The sequence below is a fragment of the Homo sapiens genome, chromosome 3 (assembly GCF_000001405.40).
Source record: "Homo sapiens chromosome 3, GRCh38.p14 Primary Assembly".
Taxonomy (NCBI): Eukaryota; Metazoa; Chordata; class Mammalia; order Primates; family Hominidae; genus Homo; species Homo sapiens.
In genome coordinates, this window is record NC_000003.12 from 138,377,920 (window position 1) to 138,400,927 (window position 23,008).

The window sequence follows — 23,008 nt, forward strand, 5'->3', positions numbered from 1 at the left end:
GTTGCTGTTGTTATTTCTGTTTTATAGTTGAAGAAAATACAGCAAAAGTTTCACACAACCAGCAACAGTTTGAGCTACCTGTTGACTCCTACCCACTGTCAGTCTGGTTGTGTAGGAAAATCCTCCCCCACAGCACAGTGGATCCTTGTGCCTCTGGGAAGGGGAGCTGAAGTCCCAGGAAGAAGTGGGTGTGGCTGAACTATCATACCTCTTCTGCCCTTCTTACTCCTCACCCAGGGTCCTTCAGAGAACCAGGTGCTCCGGTTGTGATCTCAGTCTCACGTCAGAGATTTGCAAGCTGCTTAAGGAAGCCTTCTCTGTGACTTCCACACTGATTATTCTCACAGGCTGCCTGCTTTCTTGCAAACCTGTTTCTTGTTTTCTTCCAGGAAGTCACATTGCCTGTGTCCTCCCAGAACCTAAGAGACAAGAGCTGGCTGGCCTCAGGGGCCAGCAGCCAGGCTCTCCTGTGGCTGTGGGACCCCCAGGCTTTGGAGCAAGCCTGCTCTGAGTTCTTTCCTGCAAGGGTTCGGGATCCTCATCTCACTTTATATTGTCAAGGGCCCAACCCTCGGAGCCTCTCTTCCTCCCCGTCTGGTCCCTGCTTCTCCACTGTGGGGTTTGCTTCGGCTGTCCCATCTCCATGCTCTCAGCCCTCTCCTCCTGTCTCTGACTTTGGAACACCACCTCACCTTGGCTTTCAGCTGTGTGACTGCCCTCACCCCAATTCTCTCTTGTCATGAATCAGGAAGCCCCAAACCTTCGGCAGAGCCATAGAGTTTTGTGTTTGTTTGTTTTATTGTGATAAAGTGTACATAACATAAAAGTTACCATCTTAACCATCTCTAAGTGCATAGTGCATTCACTTTGTTCTACAACCATCCCTGCCATTCATCTCCAGAACCTTTTCACCTTCCTCAACTGAAACTCTGTACCTATTAAACACTGACTCCCCATTCTCCCCTCTCCTCAGTCCCTGGCAACCACTATTCTGCTTGCTCCCTTTTCTTTTATTGATATCATATTCATACATATTTTGAGGGCATGGTAATGATCAAATCCAGGTAATTAGCATATCCATCACCTCAAACATTCTTTCTTTGTATTGGGAACATTACAATTCTTCTCTTCTAGCTATTTTGAAATTTGCAATGAATTATTGTTAACTATAATTTCCCTACTGTGCTATCAAATACTAGAACTTATTCCTTCTCTTTGTATTTCTGTACCCATTAACCAACTTCTCTTCATCCCCCCACCCACACACCCTTCCCAGCCTTTGATGTCAATCATTCCACTCTCTACCTCCATGAAATCCACTGTTTTAGCTCCCACATATCAGTGAGAGCATGCAATATTTGTCTTTCTGTGCCTGGCTTGTTTCACTTAACATAATGACCTCCAGTTCCATCCATGTTGCTGCAAATGACAGAATGTCTTTTTTTTTTTTTTTTTTTTTTTTGAGACGGAGTCTCACACTTGTTGGGCAGACTAGAGTTCAGTGGCACGATCACTGCAACCTCCCCCTCCCGGGTTCAAGCAATTCTCCTGCCTAAGCCTCCCAAGTAGCTGAAATTACAGGCACCTGCCAACACGCTCGGCTAATTTTTGTATTTTTAGTAGAGATGGGGTTTCACCATCTTGGCTAGGTTGGTCTCGAACTCCTGACCTCAGGTGATCTGCCCACCTCGGCCTCCCAAAGTGCTGGCATTACAGGCATGAGCCACTGCGCCCAGCCTCATTCTTTGTTATGGATGAATAATATTCTATTGTGTATATATGCTACATTTTCTTTATCATTCATTCATTGAAAGGCACTTAGGTTGCTTCCTTACTCTTGGCTATTGTGACTAGCGCTATGATAAACATGGGAGTGCAGGTATCACTTCAATATACTGATTTCCTTTCCTTTGAGTGTATACTCAGCAGTAGGATTGCTGGACCATATGGTAGCTCTATTTTTAGTTTTTTGAGGGATCTCCATACCATTTTCCATAGTGGCTATACTAGTTTATATTCCCACCAGCAGTATCCAAACATTCTCTTTTCTCCACATCTTCCCTAGCATTTGTTATTTTTTGTCTTTTTGATAATAGCCATTGTAACTGGGGTGAGATGTTATCTCATTGTAGTTTTGATTTGCATTTCATTGTAGTTTTGATTTGCATTTCTCTGATGATTAGCGATGTTGATAATTTTTTCATATACCTGCTATCCATTTGTTTGTCTCTGAGAAATGCCTATTCAGGTCTTTTGCCCTTTAAATCAGAATTTTATTTTATTTTGCTAATGAGTTGTTTGAGTTTCTTATATATTCAGGTTATTAATCCCTTGCCCCTTAAACACTAAGTCCCCATTTTCCCCTCTCCTCAGTCCTTGGCAACCACCATTCTACTTTCTTTTTTTTTTCTGAAATGAGGTCTCACTCTGTCACCCAGGCCGGAATGCAGTGGTGCGATCTCGGTTCACTGCAACCTCCGCTTTCTGAGTTCAAGTGATTATCCTGCCTCACCCTCCTGAGGAGCTGGGATTACAGGCGTGCACCACCACGCCTGGCTAATTTTTGTATTTTTAGTAGGGATGGGGTTTCCGTGTTGGCCAGGCTGATCTCGAACTCCTGGCCTCAGGTGATCCACCCACCTCGGCCTCCTAAAGTGCTGGGATTATAGGCGTGAGCCACCGCGCCCGGCTTCTACTTTCTGTCTCTATGTATTTAACTAATCTAGATACCTCATTTGAGTGCTATGATAAGTGGAATAATATTTGTCCTTTTATGTGGCTGGCTTATTTTAATTAGTACAATCTATTCAAGGTTCATCCATGTTGCTGCATGTTCTGAATTTCTTTCCTTTTTTTTTCTTTTTTTTTTGAGACGGTGTCTCGCTCTGTCGCCAGGCTGGAGTGCAGTGGTGTGATCTCGGCTCACTGCAGCCTCCGCCTCCCGGGTTCAAGTGATTCTCCTGCCTCAGTCTTCCGAGTAGCTGGGACTATAGGCACGTGCCACCACACCCAGCTAATTTTTGTATTTTTAGTAGAGACTGGTAGCATTTTCACCATGCTGGCCAGCATGGTCTCAATCTCTTGACCTCGTGATCCACCCGCCTCGGCCTCCCAAAGTGTTGGGTTTACAGGCATGAGCCGCCACGCCCGGCCTTCTCTCCGTTTTAAAGCTGAATGATATTCCACTGTATGGATGTACCATGTTTTCATTATCTGTTCATCTGTGGATGGACACTTGGGTGGTTTCCACCTTTTTGCTGTTATGAATAACGCTGCTATGAGCATGGTATATAAATATCTGAGTCCCTGCTTTCCTTCTTTCGTCTTAGAGTTCTTGTGTGCCTATTTTTTCTGTTGGTTAGGGATGGAAGGCTGCTAAGCCCCTCACTTTACAATTGTGGAAACTGAGGTACAGATGGAGAGGTCACTAGTCTAGGGTGAGACCTAGCTAGCTGGAGAGCCAGGTTTTGGGCTTCTTGACTCTGCCGAGCGTGTCCTCCACCCTGTCCCACTACCTCCTGCTTTGGCCCAGGCCTTGGGCCTTTAAGGTGGGATGCTGACCAAATCCTCTCCTCACTTACAACAGGGCAGATGTCTCTGGGCCTCCCCACCCTCTGGCTCCCAGCCCCGCCCTCTGCCCAGCCAGCCTCTGGAACTTTGCATCTTTCTTCCATCGGTGGAGAACAGCAGTGGGCCCTGAGTCTCCAGACACTGCTTCCTACCTTGGGGTTCTTGGGCCCAGCTCCGCAACCTCTCTGTCTCCGACTCCCCAGCAAGTGCCCAGTGTTTTCAAAGAGCAAAAGCCTGGCTCTTCTCCTGCACCATCAGAAGCTGGGACATTTCCACCCTGGCTTCTGCCCAAACCTCAGACACAAGTGCTGTTGTCTTCTCAGAGGGGCCTGAACCTGGCTTTTCCCCCACACACTTGAATCCACATTCTTTCTGGGGACGAGGAGGAGAGGAGGACATTTGAAGGGCAGGGAGAGGAAAAGGAACGTTTACTGAGTTTTTTTTTCCTGAACCAGGGGCTTTACCAGGGGGCTTTATGCTCAGCAGGCCTTAGGCCAGCTTCAGAGTGGGCACTCTCCATAGGCCCCAACTAAGAATGGGGTGCAGGCAGAGCTGGCCTGTCACCCACCAAGGGGAAGCTGCCCTTCCCCTGCCAGCAGTGATGTGGGAGGAATTTCCCTCTTTCCCTTCATAGGGAAGCATGGCTGCTGGCCTGAGATTATGCAATCCAGCCCTGCAGGCCTGGGCCTGACCCTTTGTCCCTGCTGCATCAGCCATGCTGCTGAAATGCCTCACTGATCTCCATGGTGCCCAGGGCAGTGCTCTCTGGTAGAAAGCCCTTCCTCACATTGCTGACACATCTCTTCCCAAATCCTCTCTTGCTGTCTGTCCTCAGAGCGGTGGTAGCAGTTACTACCAACCAGACTTTTCTTGAAGGCCTCATGCTAAGGGCTTTTACAAGGATGCCTTATTTCATCCTTGTGACAATTCTGTGAAATTGAGATTAGTCAAGTGAGAGTAAATCACTTTCCAGGTGAGCGCAGCTGCTCTGCAGCCAGTGTACCTCAGTACTGCTGTACTAGTTGGTAAAATAGTGAAGTACTCTCTACCACTGGAAAATTGCTGCTGCTGCTGCCCTGCACCCGAGGGGCCCTTCCCAGACCCACTAGCCAGGCTGGGAGCTGAAGGACCCCTCTCCAGCCACTGACCTAGAGTCAGCTCAGTGAGGCTTGGACTCAGTGATGAAGGTGTGAGTGGAATATGCAACTCCCTACACCCAACTCTTAGCACAGCCTGGGCTCGTTCCAGATTTGTCAGCATCCCAAAATCCAAGTGTTTTTCCACTTTCCTTGCTGACAATCAGGTCATATATGCCAGTTAATGTGGGGTTTTGCCTGAGTTTCAGAACTTCATGTTGGTCCCTGTTAGAAGTCATGTGACCAGTTTGGGCCAAGCACACCAGCCTGACCAATAGATCTGAGACCTCCCCTGTCTGCCATTGTGTTGGGTGATGCCACCTTCCCTGGGCCTCAGTGTTGCCTCTATCAGCCTGTGCTCCCCACACCCTGGCTCCGGTGACTGGGGCTCCTCCTCCCTTTGGGCTGCCTCTGGACAAAGACCTTGCACCCTCATCAGTGGGATCTGTATCCAAATGAGATACACCTCATAGTTGTTGCAAAGGATAAATGAAAAAAATACAAATTGTGAGTTCCTTGAGGAAAAGGACTGTGCCCACCATTGTATCTCTGATGTCAGCCCAGACTTGGCATCTATTAGGTGTTTAATTATTGTTTATTGAGTGAGGGGGGAAACAAGTCACCTTGCAAGGGCTTGGCACATAGCAGACCTCAGTAGATGCTATTGTTGCAGTGATTGCTTTAATGTGATATATATTATTGTTGTTTTTATTGTTATTTTTAGACACAGGGTCTCACCGTGCCACCCAGGCTAGAGTGCAGTGGCATGATCATAGCTTACTGCAGCCTTGAACTCCTGGGTTTAAGTGATCCGCCCACCTTGGCCTCCTAAAGCACTAGGATTACAGATGTGAGCCACTGTGTCTGGTTTATATTATTTATGAGGTGGCTTGATGGTTTCAAGAATAGGTCCCATCACCTGTATGGATGAGGGGCCACTGACACATGTCCCTGTGTCTAGGGAGGTTCAGGAGTGAGGCTTGAGCCCCTGACTTAGGGATATACCTCTCCGCCCAGAGTTGTGTGAATTGAACCCTGAGTCCTATGTACCTGGATATGTTCACTAATTCCTTCTGCAAATAATTGCTAATGTACCCATCTCTCTTTTGGGCTCTGAGGACATAGCAATTGGCAAATCAAAGCCCCTGCTCTCATGAAGCTTATATTTTAGTGGGGTGAGGGGACAGAGCATAAACAAATATGTATGGTGTCAGGTGGTGATAAGTGCTGTGATGAAGGTCAGACAAGGTAAGGGAGTCACAGTGGGGAAGTGGTTACGGTCTTGTGTTGGCTGGTCAAGGAGGGCTTTCCTGATAAGGGAATGTTGGAGCAGATACCTAAAAGAGAAAGCTGCACCTGTATCTGGAAGAGAATCTCAGTCAGTGGGAGTATCAGGTGCAAGGGCCCCGAGGCAGGGGTGTGCCTGGCCTGTGTGGGGAATAGCTAGGAAGCCAGCGTGTGGAACAAGTGAGAGCACAGCTAGTAGGAGAGAGGTCAGGCAGGTAGCTGGAAGGGATTGATCTCACAGGGTTTTGTAGGTAAATGAGAAGCCATTGGAGGATTTTGAGCAGAGGAAGGACATGATCTAACATGTTTAAAACGTGGATACTTCTCAGTTCCTTATCCTGCTGCGCTCCTGGCCTGGCGAGTGAGAAGAGCTCACTCTGGCTCTGGTGTGAACGGAACACAGAGGAACCATGGCAGAATCGGAAAGACCAGTTAAGAAGCTCCTGATGATGGGCTTGGGCATTGGTGGAGGAGGTGGTGAGAAGGGTAGATTCTGGTTGTGTTTTGAAGGAGGAAACGACAGGATTTGTCGATGGAGTATTTGAGGTTATTAGAGAGGGAAGAGTCTTTGGCCTGAAGAACCAGTAGCATAGAGTTACATTTATCAAGATTAGGAAGAACAGTGAAAAACAAGTTTTGAGGGGAAATCAAGAGTCTAATTTTGGACGTGTTAAATCCAGGATGCCTTTCACACATACAAGTAGAAGTCAGGGTGGCAGCTGGATATCTAAGCCTGTAGGAGGGGAGACCTGTGGGCTGGATAGAAATCTGGGTGGTGACCTGTAAAGCTGCAGGATGAGAGATCACCAAGAATGTGACTGCGGTTAGAGAAGGACCCACCAATGTTTAGAGGCTGGGGAGAAGAGGAGACAGGGCAGGACCAGTCACTGTAGTAGGATAAAGACCAAGGGAGAGTGGCATCCTGCAGCCAAGTGAAGAAGGTGCTTCACAAAGGCAGGGACCATCAGCTAAGCTGCATGAGAGACCGGCCAGGAGCCCAGCAGGATGAGGAACTGAGAAGCACCCATTGGATTTAGTGACATGGAGGTCATTGGTGACTTGACAAGATCAGTTTTGATGGAGTGGTTGGAGATGAAAGTCTAATTAGAGTGGGTTCAAGAAAGTGGTGGAGAGGAGGAGCAGGCAGCGAGGATAGGCAAGAAGCGTTTCTGAAAGGAGGAAGAGAGAAATGAACAGTAGTGGGAGGGAGAGGTGAGGCCAAGGGGCGGGGTTTTGATTTGTAATTTTTTTTTTTTTTTTTTTTTTTTTTTTAAAGACAGGGTCTTGCTTTGTCACCCAGGCTGGAGTTCAGTGGCATGATCATGACTCACTGCAGCCTTGACCTCCCGCAGTCCTCCCACCTCAGTCTCCTCAGTAGCTGGGACCACAGGCCTGGCAAATTTTTGTATTTTTTGTAGAGACGGGGTTCTCACTTTGTTGCCCAGACTGGTCTCAAACTCCAGGGCTCAAGTGATCCTCCCAGCTCAGCCTCCCAAAGTATTGGGATTACAGGAATGAACCACTGTACCCAGCTTTATTTGTAAATTTTTTTGTTTCATTTTATTGTATTTTTGAGTTTTAAAATATATATATTTATTTATTTATTTATTTATTATTTTTTGAGACAGAGTCTCACTCTGTCACCCAGGCTGGAGTGCAGTGGCACAACCTTGGCTCACTGCAACCTCTGCTTCCCAGGTTCAAGCGATTCTCCTGCCTCAGCCTCCTGAGTAGCTGGGACTGCAGGCGCCCGCCACCACACACAGCTAATTTTTGTATTTTTGGTAGAGATGGGGTTTCATCATGTTGCCAGGCTGGTCTCGAACTCCTGACCTCAGGTAATCCACCTGCCTTGGCCTCCCAAAGTGCTGGGGTTACAGGTGTGAGCCACTGTTCCAGGCCAATGTATTTTTGTTTTAAGATGAGAGAAATTACAGCACATTTACCTGCTGGTGGAAATAAACCAATAGAGAATAGGATGATGAAGGAACAACAGTTTTAGCAGTGTCCTCGAACAGGTGGCAGGGACCTGGAGCCAGTGCTTAGCTGGAGAGGATGGTCTTAGGAGCAGAGCTGGGTCATCCACCCTAGCGAGAGGGCAGGTGGAACATGTGTTTTACAGGGAGGGAGGTGGGTTGATTTTTTTCCTCATATAACTTTTTTTATTGAGATAAAATTCACATGCAGAATTCACACGCACAGTTCAGTGGTTTTTAGTGTATTCACAGAGTTGTACAACCACGTATTGCTGATTAACAAATCAGTAATTACTGTAATCACTGCCAACTCATTCCTGAACGTATTCATCCCCAACCCTGCTCAAAACCCCCCTTACCCATGAGCACTCACTCTCCATTCTCCCCCCTCCTCAGTCCCTGAAACCATTAATCCACTTCCTGCCTTTATGGATTTGCCTACTCCAGACATTTCATGGAAGCAGAATGGGACGGCACATGGTCTCTTGTGCCTGGCTTCTTTCACTTAGCACAGTGTTTTACAGGTTCGTGCTGCTGCAGTGTGTATCAGAATTCCATTCTTTTTTATGATATTCTAGTGTACGGATATACTACATTTTGTTTTTTGTTTTTGAGATGGAGTTTCACTCTTGTTGCCCTGACTGGAGTGCAGTGGCGTGACCTTGGCTCACTGCAACCTCTGCCTCCTGGATTCAAACAATTCCCCTGCCTCAGCCTCCCGAGTATCTGGGATTACAGGTGTGCGCCACCACACCCAGCTAATTTTTGTATTTTTAGTAGCGAGGGGGTTTCACCAGTTGGCCAGGCTGGTCTCAAACTCCTGACTTCAGGTGATCTGCCCGCCTCGGCCTCCCAAAGTGCTGGGATTACAGGCGTGAGCCACCGCGTTCGGCCATATACTACATTTTGTTTATTCTTTCACCAGTCAATGGACATTTGGGTTGTTTCTACTTTTGGCCATTGTGAGTAATATTGCTGTGAATGTTCATGTGCAAATTTTCATGTGAAAACTTGCTTTCAGTTCTCTTGGGTATATACCTAGAAGTAGAATTGCTGGGTCATTTGGTAACTCCATGTTTAACATTTTGAGGAATTATCAAACTGTACCAGCAGTGTGTGAGGGGTCCCATGCCTCTCAGATGGGTTGATGTGGGGTGCAAGCATGTGGAATTTATCTCCTGGTAGATCCCTGTTTCAATTCCTGAGCTGAGAGTGCAAGCTTGGCAAAAGAGGTCAGGTGGGTGGTGGTCACCAAGGGAGTGGGAGAATGATGGAGAAGGATGGTGGGCACTCTGAAGGCCCTGGAAGTTGATGCTCAGGCCTTTAAAGGGGGAGAAGCCAGTGCACTCATGAGTTTTCTCTTCCCTGCCACCCATGGCTGCCCAGGCGCAGGTGCGGAGTAGGTGGAGAGTTTGGTGTAAGCAAGTGGGGTGAATGCAGGAAGCAGCCTCCAGGCTTCTGTCCTCCATCTCTGTCCTCACCCCTCCTTTTAGACCTGCTCTTGTTCACAGGCTGTGGGGATGCCACTGCCGACTCCTGCTCAAAGACAGGCTGGTGTGAGGAGCAGAGCAAGGCTTGGAATCAGACGGGCATGGGTTCAAATCCTGCCTCTACTGCTCATTAGCCATATGAACCTAAGCAGATCACTAGCCTTGCCCTGCCTCTGTCTCTTCACCTGTCAAATGCTGGCCTCCCAGAGGGGTTGCAAGGTGGAAGTGGGATTATAGGCCAGCGCTCCCAGTTGTCTCCCTGTTTCTCTGCGCTGCCAGGCCCCCGTCTGTTGGTGTGATATTCCTGGGCTCTAGTTACACAGCTGAGATCCCTGCTGTCCTTTCTCCTTTCTTCTCTTCCTTCCCTAAGAGCAGCATTGAGGGTTCTAGGTTCCTCTAAGAATCCCACAGAACCATAGACCATATCCCCAGAATGTGCACCGACATATGCAGTTTGTATACCAGTTCTGGGGATCACGGGCCTTGTGAAAACTTATCCCAAGACCCCCTCACTCCATTCCCCACAGCTGCAGGGTGTAGCCTCCAGCATGAGCGACCCCCAAAGCTGATGGCCGGCACTTCTCCCCTGATGTTTTCCTTAAGCCAGGGTGTTGAGGAGGTTGGGGCCACTGGCAAAGGGACTCTTCCCTGTCACCAGGGAGCCAGTTGGTGCCCACTACAGGACTTTAGCCCCCTTCCCCTTGGGGAGTCCCAGGTGTCCTGGCTGTCTGCACCCTGCCAGCATTTTGGAGAAGTTCAAGAAATCAGCCCTTTTTCTAGGAACAGTGCACGGTGAATGCATCAGCCCTTTTGCCCAGCACCCAACCCCACTCCATAGACACCCATTACCCAGAAAGGGGAGCGCAAATTAAAATAGTAAACACCCCTCATCACTATGTGTGTTCAACTAAGTGACATTATTTTTTTGAATCTATTCTTAAGCTTCCTTACCTTATTCTTCTGTAAAATGGGCATAATCATTCCTGCCTCCCATGACGGGTTTGTGAATTAGAGATACATAAAACATTCTAGGCATGGGGCTGGGCACAGTGGCTCACGCCTGTAATCCTTGCACTTTGGGAGGCCAAGGCGGGCGGATCACTTGAGGCCAGGAGTTCGAGACCAGCCTGGCTAATATGGCAAAACCCCATCTTTACTAAAAATACAAAAATTAGCCAGGAGTGGGGATGCGCACCTGTAATTCCAGCTACTTGGGAGGCTGAGGCATGAGAATCACTTGAACCCAGCAGGCAGAGGTTGCAGTGAGCTGAGATTGCACTACTGTAGTCCAGCCTGGGTGACGGAGTGAGACTCTGTCTCAAAAACATAAAAAGAAAGAAAAGAAAAGAAAAAAGAAAACTTTAGGTATGGCCCTTAGAGGCATATTATCTCTAGAAATTGTTTTCTCTATTGCTTGATATTCCGTGACCCTTATTTCACCCTGTAGGGGTGTCATAAAAGTTTTTGTTTTTGTTTTTTTGAGACAGAGTTTCACTCTCGTTGCCCAGGCTGGAGTGCAGTGGCGCAGTCTCGGCTCACTGCAACCTCTGCCTCCCAGGTTCAAGCGATTCTCCTGCCTCAGCCTCCCGAGGTGCTGGGATTACAGGTACCCACCACCATGCCCAGCTCATTTTTGTATTTTTAGTAGAGACTGGGTTTTACCGTGTTGTCTAGGCTAGTCTCAAACTCCTGACCTCGTGATCCGCCCTCCTCGGCCTCCCAAAGTGCTGGGATTACAGATGTGAGCCACCGTGCCCCACCATGTGTCATAACAGTTTGAAAGTCAGTTTTTAGTGATCTCCCCTAAAGCTGGGGGCTGTTTTAACCCAGTGATGGCATTTTCTGTAGAGTGCAGATGATGCATCTAGTCATTCTGCAAGTATTTTTTGAGCCTTCCTTGAGTGCTGAAGCTTTTGTGGGCCCAGGGAAATGAAAGCCAGGCTCCCACATTCTGGGACTCTACCCCATGGTGAGGAGCTGAGCCAGGCCCCCCAGACTTGGAGGAACAGATGACACACGCAACAGGAAGGGCTCAAAGATGGAGGTCAGAGGCTGGGCGCTCTTGTGAGGAGGAAGGGAGATGGACTGCATCCCAGCTGGAAGGCGGCTGGGACAGCCAGTGGAGAGGAGGGGAAAGGGCATTCTAGATGGAAGTCACGGCTTGGGCAAAGACTTGGAATGGAGATACGGCCCAGCCGGTTCTAGGATAGCCAGACAGTGGTGGTTCTGGTTGAAGAAAAATGACTGGACAGGCTGGGACCCTTGGGCCTTAGGGAAATAGGAACACCCTTCTTCCTGGTGCATGGCCTTTAGTGGGTCCCTTTAACTCCTGGACCTCAATGTCCCCATCTATACTAGGAGGATGGTAATATCTTACTTCCAAGGCTGTGAAGAGGACTGAGAGAGTGGGTGTGTATAAAGCCTTTGGCATAGTGCTGGCTGCCAGCAGGAACACGGTGGGTGGGACCACTTTTAGCCAAAGATCTTGACCGTACCCTGGGCTATGGGCCACTGTCGGAGCCCCTGGAGCTCATGCTGTGACTTTTCTCCCTCTGGAAGCCTGGGTGGAAGAGGGGGAGAAGGTGGCTCACGCCTGTAATCCCAGGCGTGGGCAGTTTTCCTAGTATTTCTCAGGAGGGAACAAGAAGGGGAGAAGGGAGGAGGAGAAGCAGAGAAAAGGGGGAGAGGTGAGGGGGAGGAGGAGAAGCAGAGAAAAGGGGGAGAGGTGAGGGGGAGGAGGAGAAGATCTTGACTATTACATCAGAGCCCCAGGCTGGTGCTCCTCCATGCTGGCTGCCCTCCTGCCTGGGACTACATGCCTTGCCAGCATGTGGGGCTTGCCTTGGCATCTGAAATCGATAAGCTCCCAGCAGTTCCAGGGTCTCCAGTTAAATCCTCCTTTGCAAAGCTGCTGGGTCCCTTGATCCCTTGTCCTCAAGTGGGAGGATTGGAGCATCGCAGACAGATGTGCACAACACTGACCCTGTCTCTCCATTTATCTTTCTCCTTCCTCCTCCCCCAGTCTGGCTGCCTCTCTGTCTCTGTCTATCTGTCTGTCTCTCTCTCACAAACGCACACGCACACGCACATTGGCAGCATACCTCTTCTCCCACAGTGACTAATACTTTCTGTCTCTGGAGTCCTCCTACCTTCATGACATCAGGCATGGGGAATGCAGGCAGGATCATAATTTCTTAATAGTGTAGCTGCCCATTATCTTCAGCCTCCCCCAGGAAGCCCTGGAGTCAGAACTGCTGACAAGGGGCCTGTGGCCGGGCATTTGCAGGTGTATGTGTGTGGAGGGGTGGGCTAGACAAGGGGTGGGCTAGTCCCACTTGGGACCAGGCCCAGCTCAGCCACACACCCCTCCTCCCTGCTAGCCCTCCCAGACCAATGGATGGGTTCATACCATTCCTGGGGTAGATTTTGTCCCTTCCGTTTCATCTGCCATTATTAGTGTATTTAGGTTTTATATGTTTTCTGGAGCCAATTTTGATCATTTATATTTCTTGAACCATCCATTTCATTGAGAATTGAAAATTTATTATTATCAAACTGTGTATGGTTTTCTCCATAATTAAATATATAGCTGTATCCATAGTCAGAGGCCTTTTCTCATTCCAAATGCTTGTCTTTTTTTCTCTGATAAGAATTGCTGAAAGCTGGGTTTTTTTAAATTGGTCCTTTGAAAGAATCTGCTTTTGATTTTTAGATATCAGCTACTTTCCCCTCCTCCTACTCTGGCAATTTCTACTTTTATTGATACCTTTTTCTTTCTCTCTTATTTTAGTTTATTTTCCCTTTTCTAGCCTCTTGATTTAAGTGTTTAGTTAATTTTCAGTTTTAGTTTCTGAAATGCATTTAAAGCTATAATTTTCCTGTAAGTACCACTTTGGCCTTAAATGAGAGGTTTTATTTCTGTTGATTGTCCTTCAATTCTCAACTGTGATTTCTGCTTTTTAATTAGAGAGTTATAGAGGAGCATGGCTTTTAACATTTTCAGGTGGCTAGATTCTCTTATACTCTTGTTTCTGTTCATTTCTGATCCTGTTACAGTACAGGTTGAGCATCTGCAGTCCAAAAATCTGAAATCTGAAAGGATTCAAAATCTGAAACTTTTTGAGCGCTTATGTGACGCCACAGTGAATAGTCCACATATAAGTACTTAATATGAACTTTGTTTTATGCACAAAATTCTCGGAAATATTGTATAAAATTATTTTCAGTCTATGTGTATAAATATAAATGAATCTTGTATTTAGACTTGGGTCCCATCCCCAAGAGATCTCGTTATGTATATGCAAATATTCCAGAATCTTTTAAAAATAAAAATTCCAAAACACCTCTGGCCCCAAGCATTTCAGATAAAGGACAAAACTTAGCCTATAGGATTTCTGCCTTCTGGAATTTGTTGAAATTTTTATTTATGGCCTCTAATATATGGCCAAATTTCATGTATGTTTAAAAATGCTTGTTCATGGCCAGGCGCGGTGGCTTACGCCTGTAATCCCAGCACTTTGGGAGGCCGAGGCAGGTGGATCACGAGGTCAGGAGATTGAGACCATCCTGGCCAACATGGTGAAACTCTGTCTCTACTAAAAATACAAAAATTAGCTGGGCATGGTAGCGCATGCCTGTAATCCTAGCTACTCGGGAGGCTGAGGCAGGAGAATCGCTGGAACCCGGCAGGCGGAGGTTGCAGTGAGCCAAGATTGCACCACTGCACTCCAGCCTGGAGACAGAGTAAGACTCCATCTCAAAAAAACAAAAAAATAAAAAAATGCTTGTTCACTATTGGAATGTAAAGTTTGTTCTGTCTCTCAGAATAAGCTTAAATTTTGTTTTTAGAGACAGGTTCTCATTCTGCCCCAGAGGCTGGAGTGCAGTGGCAAGATTGTAGCTCATTGGAACCTCAAACTCTTGGGCTCAAGCTGATCCTCCGCTTTATCCTCCCAAAGTACTGGGATTACAGGGATGAGCCACCTTGCCCAGCCAAGTATTTAAATTTTGTTATTTAATGACAGGACATTGCTTTTGGAGATAATTTGTTCTATATTTAAGAGAGGCCTCTTCAAGTCTCTCATAATGATTATGGAATTTGTCAATTCCTGTTGTTTTTAAAAATCCTTTTTTTTGTCCACATACGTGTTTAAGCAACATGCCTAGATGCTTATGATTGATGACTGCGGCACTTCTTGATGCTTGTACCTTTCCGATTATAAATACTCTGTCTTTGTCCGTTTCATGATCTGGCCTTGAATTCTGTTTTGTAGATGCATTTCTTTTCTTTTGGTTACCATGTGGCTGGCATGTTCTTTTTATCCTTCCATTTTTCATCCTCTCTGTCATTTTGCTTTATATGTGTCTTTGAAAGAAGGCAGGCAAATGGATTTTGTATTTAGTATCTGCTTTTAATAGATGGATTTAATCCATTTGCATTTATTGTGATGAGTCATAGATTTATTTCAGCCATCTTATTTCATGCCTACTTTTTATTATATTTGCTTATTTTTGTTAAGTTTATTTTTGCCTTTTGTTGGATTGGTTTCATTTACTTTGTCCTGTTTTTCCTCTGTTGCTTAGGAAGTTTGAGGTGTTGCTTAGGAAGTTTGAGGTTTTACTTCCGTTCTTCTATTGGTTATGCTATATATGTATGTGTGTGTATACTCGTATTTTTCTATCAGCATCTAGATGTAATCAGGATCATTAGCCTCTTGACAAATGAGGCGAGAACTTTAGTACTTATTTTTTCCTGGCTCCTACCCTCACACATTGGATCATCTTAGATTTTAGTTCTACATTATCATCTATTCTCTTCAAATTATGCAACAACATTTAGTTAAACTTACCTGTTCTTTTAAAAATTTGTAGAGATGGGGTCTCACTGTGTTGCCCAGGCTGGTCTCAAACTCCCGGCCTAAAACTATCCTCCTACCTCAGCCTCTCAAACTGCTGGGATTATAGGCTTGAACTTACTGCACTGGCCTTAAACTTAACTCTTATGTTTTGCTGTTTTCTTCGCTTACCACTGTTTGTAGTATCACTCTTCTTTCTCTTTGATGGTTTTATTTTTTACTTTGTAAGAATTCTTCCAGAAAGCCTGGGTGATATAATTTCTAAGACCTTCAATGTCTGAGATGACTGTTTTTCCTTTCCATAGGGTCCATTTTGATTTTCAACTCCCTATTAATTTTTTTTAATTTGAATGATCATATTTTAAAATATCCTAGATCTCTAGTTTCCATTTAGATAGTATATACCTTCAAAATCTGTAAATATATGAATTACGATATTGCCTTAATGTCTTCTGCTTTTTTCTTTTTTTTTTGAGACAGAGCTTCGCTCTTGTTGCCTAGGCTGGAGTGCAATGGCGTGATCTTGGCTCACTGCAACCTCTGCCTCCTGGGTTCAAGTGACTCTCCTGCCTCAGCCTCCCGAGTAGCTGGGATTACAGGCACCTGCCACCATGCCCAGCTAATTTTTTGTATTTTTAATAGAGATGGGGTTTCACGATGTTGGCCAGGCTGGTCTTCAACTCCTGACCTCAGGTGATCCACCTGCCTTGGCCTTCCAAAGTGCTGGGATTACAGGCATGAGCCACCGCACCCGGGTGTCTTCTGCTTTTCGATTCAGGCCTTTCCACCCACACTTCAACCAAATGCATGCTGTTTCCGTCTGTTTTATTAATTGCAGTTCTGAGTCGAATTTTTTTTTTTTTCTAAGAAAAAAAAAAGCTGCAGTCCCTCCAGTTGAAGGTGCAGTCTTCCTGCTCCCTCCTGGGAAATACTGGGGAAACTGCCCGGTCCTTGGCTGTAGGTCCTGCCTTCTGACCTCTTCATTTCACATCCAGATGAAATAGTTCTAGGATATCAGAGCTGTAAGGACCTGCTGGTCCCGGAGCCCCGCCCCTCATTTCCTACATGAGACTGAGGCCCAGGGAAGGAGCAGAAGTAGCCATGAGCTGCTTTTATGCCCTGGGCACCTCTTGGGTCCTCTTGTCCATCACTGGCCCCTCTGAAGTGCCAAATGGCTCTGGGGGATGTGCAGCAATGAAGGGCTGTGGGGACAGGTGACTTTCTTGGGTACTGTGTAAAGGTGCCTGTCTAAGAAGATGTGGATTCCCAGGCATCGCTGGATAGCTTGTCCTGTGGCTTTCCTTGCCATCTACACACTGGCAACTCCCACATCTGTATCTCTTGCCCCCTCTTCTCTTCTCTATGTCTGACTTAAGTCCCCCAATACCTACTGGAAGTCAAACATGGTGTCTAATAGACTCTGAAGCCTGTGTCAAAAACTGAGTCCCCCAAACCCTGTTTCTCACCCAGACTTCCCCACCTCAGCATCTGGGATCACTATTCCCCTAGACGCTCAGGCCAGAAACAGGCGTCATCCTCAATGCCTCTTTTTCTCACCTCTCTATCCCCACACTTTCCTCCAGAAAGCTCTGCTCCTGTTGACTCTGTCTTAGAAAGTGGCCTTGGTCTGGTCACTTCCCCCAGCACCCACTCCCCGCCCTCGGCTCCACCAGCATGTGTTGCCTGGATTCTTGTGCTAGCCTCCTCACTGGTTCCCTGCTTCCAGTCTTGCTCTGTTTTCCCCAGCAGCCAGAATGAACTTTTCAAGATGTCCTCTAGAGCATGCCTTTCTTTTTCTTTCTTTTTTATTTTTTATTTTTTTTTCAGACGGAGTTTTGCTCTTATCACCCAGGCTGGAGTGCAGTGGCGCTATCTCAGCTCACTGCAACCTCTGCCTCCTGGGTTCAAGTGATTCTCCTGCCTCAGCCTCATGAGTAGCTGGGATTGCAGGCGCTCGACACCATGCCTGGCTAATTTTTGTATTTTTAGTAGAGACGGGGTTTCATTTGGCCAGGCTGGTCTCGAACTCCTGACCTCAGGTGATCCACTTGCCTCGGCCTCCCAAAGCACTGGGATTACATGCATGAGCCACCGCGCCTGGCCAGACTATGCCATTCTTTTGCCCAAACTCTCCAGTGGCCCCAGTCTTGCTTAGAACCAAGTGAAACTTACACAGTGTGGCAGGCCCCACCATCTGCCCCCACCTCCTCTCCATCCTTCACACGCCCTTCACTCCCCTTCTTGCCCTTGCACACCTCCACCTTTGAGCCTTCGAATTTGTTGTGTTCCCTCTGCCTGGAGTGCTCTTCCGCTAGGCCACGTGGCTCCCTCCGGCCCCTCATTTAGTCACTGTTCAAATGTCACCTTCTGATATTGGTCCTCCTTCCCTACCCAAAATGACACCAACTTCTGCCAGTGACCCTCCAGCCGACTATATCATTCTTCACACTGTGTATCTATCTCCACTAAAATAACAGCCATTCATTTGTTGATCTGTCTTGCTTCTAGATGGTGAGTCCCATAAAAGCAAGGATTTGGTCTCATTCGCCTTCTGTCCATAGGGCCTAGAACACTTCCTGCCACCTAGCAGGCACTCAGACATTCCTTAAATGAATGACAAGATTGGACAGACTTCACATTTATTTTTTGATTCAAGTACTGTTCGGGGCTACTTTTTGGCCAGGCCATGAGTAGACAGGTGACTGGCACAGACCTGCCGTTACCCCTGGGAGCTAACAGTCCTGCTGGGGACAACTACATGGCTGGCCAGAAGTGTTCCCGGAAGGGTTGGCATGGGGCTGGGGTTGGTCCTGGGGCTCCAGCTACAGCCAAGTCAGAGTCCGCTCACCAAGGCCAGTGGAGAAGGGGAGGGAAGGGGGAGTTGGAGGAAAGTGTCCTGGACTGCGAGGGTAGCCAGAGCGGGAGAGAAGACCCCAGTGAGGATGGCAAGCTCACAGCAGACCCTCCCACAGGGCTTTTGTGCCAGGCACTGCACTGAGGGCATTACATGTATTAACTGAAAACTACCTTGACCATCCCCATTTTAGGAAATGGTGGCACAGAGAGGGTAGCTTGCCTGGGGTCACACCCAGGCATGAGAAGCCAGACTCCGCCCAGTGGGCTGGCTCCAAAATCTGTAACCACCCGCTCCCCTGCCTCACAGGAGAGGGGAAGGTGGATCTGGTCAGGCAGCAGGGGGACTGGGAAGACGCAGGGGAGGCTAAGCCATGAGCAGGTGCTTGGAGGATGCTGCAGGTTCAGACTTCATGCCCCCAGAGGGCAGAAAGGGGTCAGGCCTGCACTGCTAAAAGGAACCCCCCACCCTGCCTACCGAGCTTGTGGCTGTGAGCAGTGGGATGAGACTTTCCCTCAGCAGGAAGGAGGCTGGAGGAAGGTGGCAGTGAGGGGCGAGAGCACCTGGGCAGGAGTAGTTGGGGGGATGGATGGGTTAGGAGGAAGAGCTTCCAGCCCCAGCCTAGGAGGAAGTGCCCTGGCTGTGAGGGGCCGCTCCTCCCCCAGGGTCTCCTTGGTATCTGTCCCCTTGGGGGCTGAGAAGCCCTTCCTGCCCAGATGGCCTCTTCAGGGCTTCCCCCCAGGCATGTCCACAAATAAGCTCTTCTCCCCTAGGGGGTGCAAGGTAGAGGCACGGTTTTCATTGATAGAGGAGGAAAGGGGAAGCTCAGAGAGTCAGGCAGCCTCCCAAAGAGTCACAGTTTGTAGGCCCTGCAGCAGGGATCCAAGCCCAGGTCTGGCCAGAGGGATTGTGTAGCAGAGTTCATCACTGGCTTCATGAGGCGCGTCTGTAGATCAGAGAATTTAGGCCTAGTAAGCACATGGGGTGAAACTGGAGGAGAAGGGTTTGGTGGGTCCACAGTGAGTCAGAGCCTCACCCTGAAGCGGCTTTAAGGTTGGGGAGCTTCAGCTGGGACCCTTCGAGCAGCCCTAGAGAGAGAGCTTATGCAGCCTCTCACGGGACAGCTCGGACTGGGCCACGGTAGGGACAGCAGCAGCAGCAGTGTTGGAGTCTTGCAGGCTGTGGGGGCTACAGGGTAGGTGAGGACAGCCCCTGAGTGGCCTCATCCCACCCCAGTTCTGGACACAGCTGGGCAGGAGGAATTCAGCGCCATGCGGGAGCAATACATGCGCACGGGGGATGGCTTCCTCATCGTCTACTCCGTCACTGACAAGGCCAGCTTTGAGCACGTGGACCGCTTCCACCAGCTTATCCTGCGCGTCAAAGACAGGTGAGCATCAAAGACAGGTGAGAGTACCGGGAAGAGGCCTGCGCCTGCCTCCTAGGGCGCTCTCTCTCTCTCTCTTTCTCTTTCTCTCTCTCTCACCCCTAATTAAAGGCGTGGATTTTTTTAAGCCTTATGTGGAGTAATTAAATCATTTGAAATCTGGTTTATACTCATTTGGCCTTGTTGATTCTCAAAGAGGCTATGTAATGAAAATAAAAGCACAAACTAATAGGAAAAGAACAAGCTTTGAGCAAATTCCATTAAAGACAGAAAAAAATCTAGCTAACATGTGTTCCAAAGGCAAAGTGTTAATAAGTTTACCAGGTAAAGGGACACACATACATACACATAAAGCTCCCACAGATTAATGTGGGTTTTACTCCGAATACATGAATTGCAAAAGAGAAAACAAAAATGGCTCAAATGTGGGAAAATGTTCAACTTTCTTGCTAATCAAAGAAATATAGGGAAAATAGTAAAGTACCATTTTTCACCTGTCAAATTATAATTTTTTAAAATGGAAATACCCAATGCTGCCAAATACTCAATGCTGCGGTGAGATTGTCGTTTCATTCAGTTTTGGACAAAATTTGGCCCATGTCAATAAGAATCTTTACGGTGGCCATGCCTCTTGATGCCCTCTGCTGGGAGCCATCCTAATTGTGCAGCTGGTTGTGTGGTTGGTACATCTGAGTGACCCAAGAGATGGGAACCAGGTCTGGGGAGCCAGCCCCTGGCCAGCAGCCCCTCAAGTCCTCACCACTGGCCTTGCAATGGACCTGAGGCTTAAAGCCAAGATAGCCAGCAGCCCCCGGGCCCTTTCCCCCAAGCCCTGACCTCTCTCTGGAAAGGAAGAGGGAAGGGACTGCAGTCCAGGCTGACTGGGGAGGTGCTGTGGGCTGGCTGTGCTATGCCTGAGATGTGAATGTGCCACCTTAACCAGGTGTGAGGGGTGGTGGAAACCTCACAGAGCTGCTGTTCCTTTATTTCCCAGGGAGTCATTCCCGATGATCCTCGTGGCCAACAAGGTCGATTTGATGCACTTGAGGAAGATCACCAGGGAGCAAGGAAAAGAAATGGCGACCAAACACAATGTAGGTGTGTGCGTGTGTGTAGAGGGGGTCAGGAGATGTGTAAAAGCTGTAGCCTGGTCACCCCTGCAGTCCTGGTCTTTGGAAATGAAACTACTGTTTATTGAAGGGCTCCCCTTAGTTTAAGTCTTGTTGCTACTGAAATCCTGCAATTCCAGGAATCCAGGTAATGCACATCAGTGTTTCGTCAATGGTAGAGACAGGTCCCCTAGAAAGAAAGTAGAAGGTGTCTGGGACCTGGGGGGATCATACAACTCAGGGACTTCTGAGTGATGGGGTGGGACCACAGGTGGCAGTGGTCTGAGGCCCTGGAACCTGGGCCATTACTGAGCCGGTAGGAGTACAGGATGTGAAGGGGCTCCAGGTAGGTCCCAGCTTGAGCTGCGGTGCCTTCCTGCCTCCCCTCTGGGTGTGTGCAGGGATGCACGTTGTCCTGACTTACAGGGGCCCCATAGGACTCTACTGGCCGCTTATCAGGGGCATCTGCCATGGCCGGATTTGGTGTCCAACCTGGAAGAGGCTCCAAAGCAGACCTCAGCACCCCTTACCAGGGCCAGGAGAAAGTGGAAAGTGTGCCCAGTTCAAACCCTGATTCTCTGCCAGCCGGTGTTGACCTTGAGCAAGTGCGTCATTCTGAGCTCAGTCTCCTGAGCTGCAGAATGGAGATACTTGCTTACCTCAGAGGGTTAATGTGAGGACTAAAAGAGGTCAGGGATAGTGAGACCTGGAAAGCCAAACAGCCCATAATGAAGAGCAGTTTCCATTTAGTGTTATCAGAGGCTCAAATATTTGTCCAATGAATATTTCAAAGGCTTAAGCTCTGCCTTTTGTGCTCTGCGCTTTGTGTGTCTGTTGGCTACAACAGAAGTGTGCACATCCAACCTCACGCGATGATGATGGATGGGAAGATACTGACTGGTTTGTGTTCTGGGCAATGATTTACAATCTACTCCTCTAAAACAACAACTTACTCTGTCGCCCTCCATGCATTTCAAGTGTTGATTATTTTTCTTTCCTTCACTGTGCTTTTCTTTTTCCAGCATATTATAATGAAAGGCATTAATTTTGTAATCAGAAAAACTTATGAAAAATAACAAAGTTATTCAGTCTAATCACACTCAGCTTACTTCCATCTGTCTCATCAAGGGAGGCCTGTGTGTTCCCCACCCTGCTCCCCGCCTTTGGGGAATGAACACTTCCTGCCTTGGTGGGGTCCCTGCTGTAGGAGAAGGTGAGCGCTCAGGAGTGAGTGTGTCCTGACCTCATAGAGCCTTTGTTCTCCTCCCTTTGCCAGCCCGAGGCTTGGTGCAGATCTGGCCCTGGAAACCTGCTCTGTGGGGCCACCACAGTCGTATCTCCCGCTGTCTGCACCCTTTCGACCGGGTGATGATTTCTCACCATTGAACGTGCAGACAAAAACCTTGTGTAAACATGGCTGAGCTCCCAGGCTCATAGATACAGATCAAACAAGAGCTGGGATGAGGTGGGGGCCAGCTCCGACGGGGCCAGGGTCACCTGGGCCCAGAATCCTGGTCATGGCCCAGCCTCTCCTCAGCCTTTTCTACCACGTCCACTCTGGAGGGGCCCAGAAAGAGGGACAGAAGTCATCCCAAGGTGGAGCAACAGACCTCAGAAAGAAAAATGGATAGAATCAGAATGTATTTTTGATAAATGAAACAGTCTTTCATCTTCAAGTATATAAAAAGATCACTTTATTCTATTTTTAGGGAGCTATTAAATATCTCTGTGCCTAGAGAACAAGAGGGAATTGGAAAAGCCATTAGTAACACTTTCCAACCTGAAAGAGTGAAAAGCCCTAAATGATGCTTGAGGCTATTGGGGGCTGGGGCTTCTGTGGGGGGTTTTGAAAGCACCTGGGTTCCTCAGAACCTCTGGGCATTTTTAAGGGTGTAACAGGGCTTTGAGGATCTCTGTGCCACTTTGATCAAGTTGAGCTTTGCCTTCCAGATTCCGTACATAGAAACCAGTGCCAAGGACCCACCTCTCAATGTCGACAAAGCCTTCCATGACCTCGTTAGAGTAATTAGGTGAGCACTGCCCTCTCCCTAGAAGCGGGCCTCCACAGCATGGGTTGGCTCCTGGAGGCAGCTGGGAGCTTGAGGAAGCAGCTCCTGTTCTGAGGCCATGAGGCTGTGGAATTCTGGGCCTATTTTTGGATTTCTTGTCCCTCCTTCCATTTCTTTCTTTTGCTTTTTCCACCTACCTCTGCCCTCCCCGCAGCTGCTAACGGGTTTGTGGGTGATGTCTGCTGCACATGTTAAGTGGAAATGCCTTCCTGTCTGATGCAGTGGCTCAGGCTCCCTGGAAGGCAGCTCCCTCCAGCCTGGCTTCAGTGTTCTCC

At 48.0% G+C, this 23,008-nt stretch overlaps 1 protein-coding gene across 14 annotated transcripts in view; it reads left to right on the forward strand.

Moving 5' to 3' along the window:
* The window catches only part of MRAS (muscle RAS oncogene homolog), a 57,888-nt gene that overhangs the window by 30,272 nt on the left and 4,608 nt on the right, over positions 1-23,008 (forward strand). For 13 of the 14 annotated variants that reach the window (NM_012219.4, NM_001252091.1, XM_047447696.1 and 10 more), the window contains 3 exons: positions 19,405-19,558; positions 20,550-20,649; positions 22,615-22,694. In NM_012219.4, coding sequence (NP_036351.3) covers positions 19,405-19,558; positions 20,550-20,649; positions 22,615-22,694 — 334 coding nt within the window. Of the gene's footprint in view, positions 1-19,404; positions 19,559-20,549; positions 20,654-22,614; positions 22,696-23,008 lie in introns of those variants that run through there. The other variant, XM_005247229.3, reaches the window with a different exon arrangement.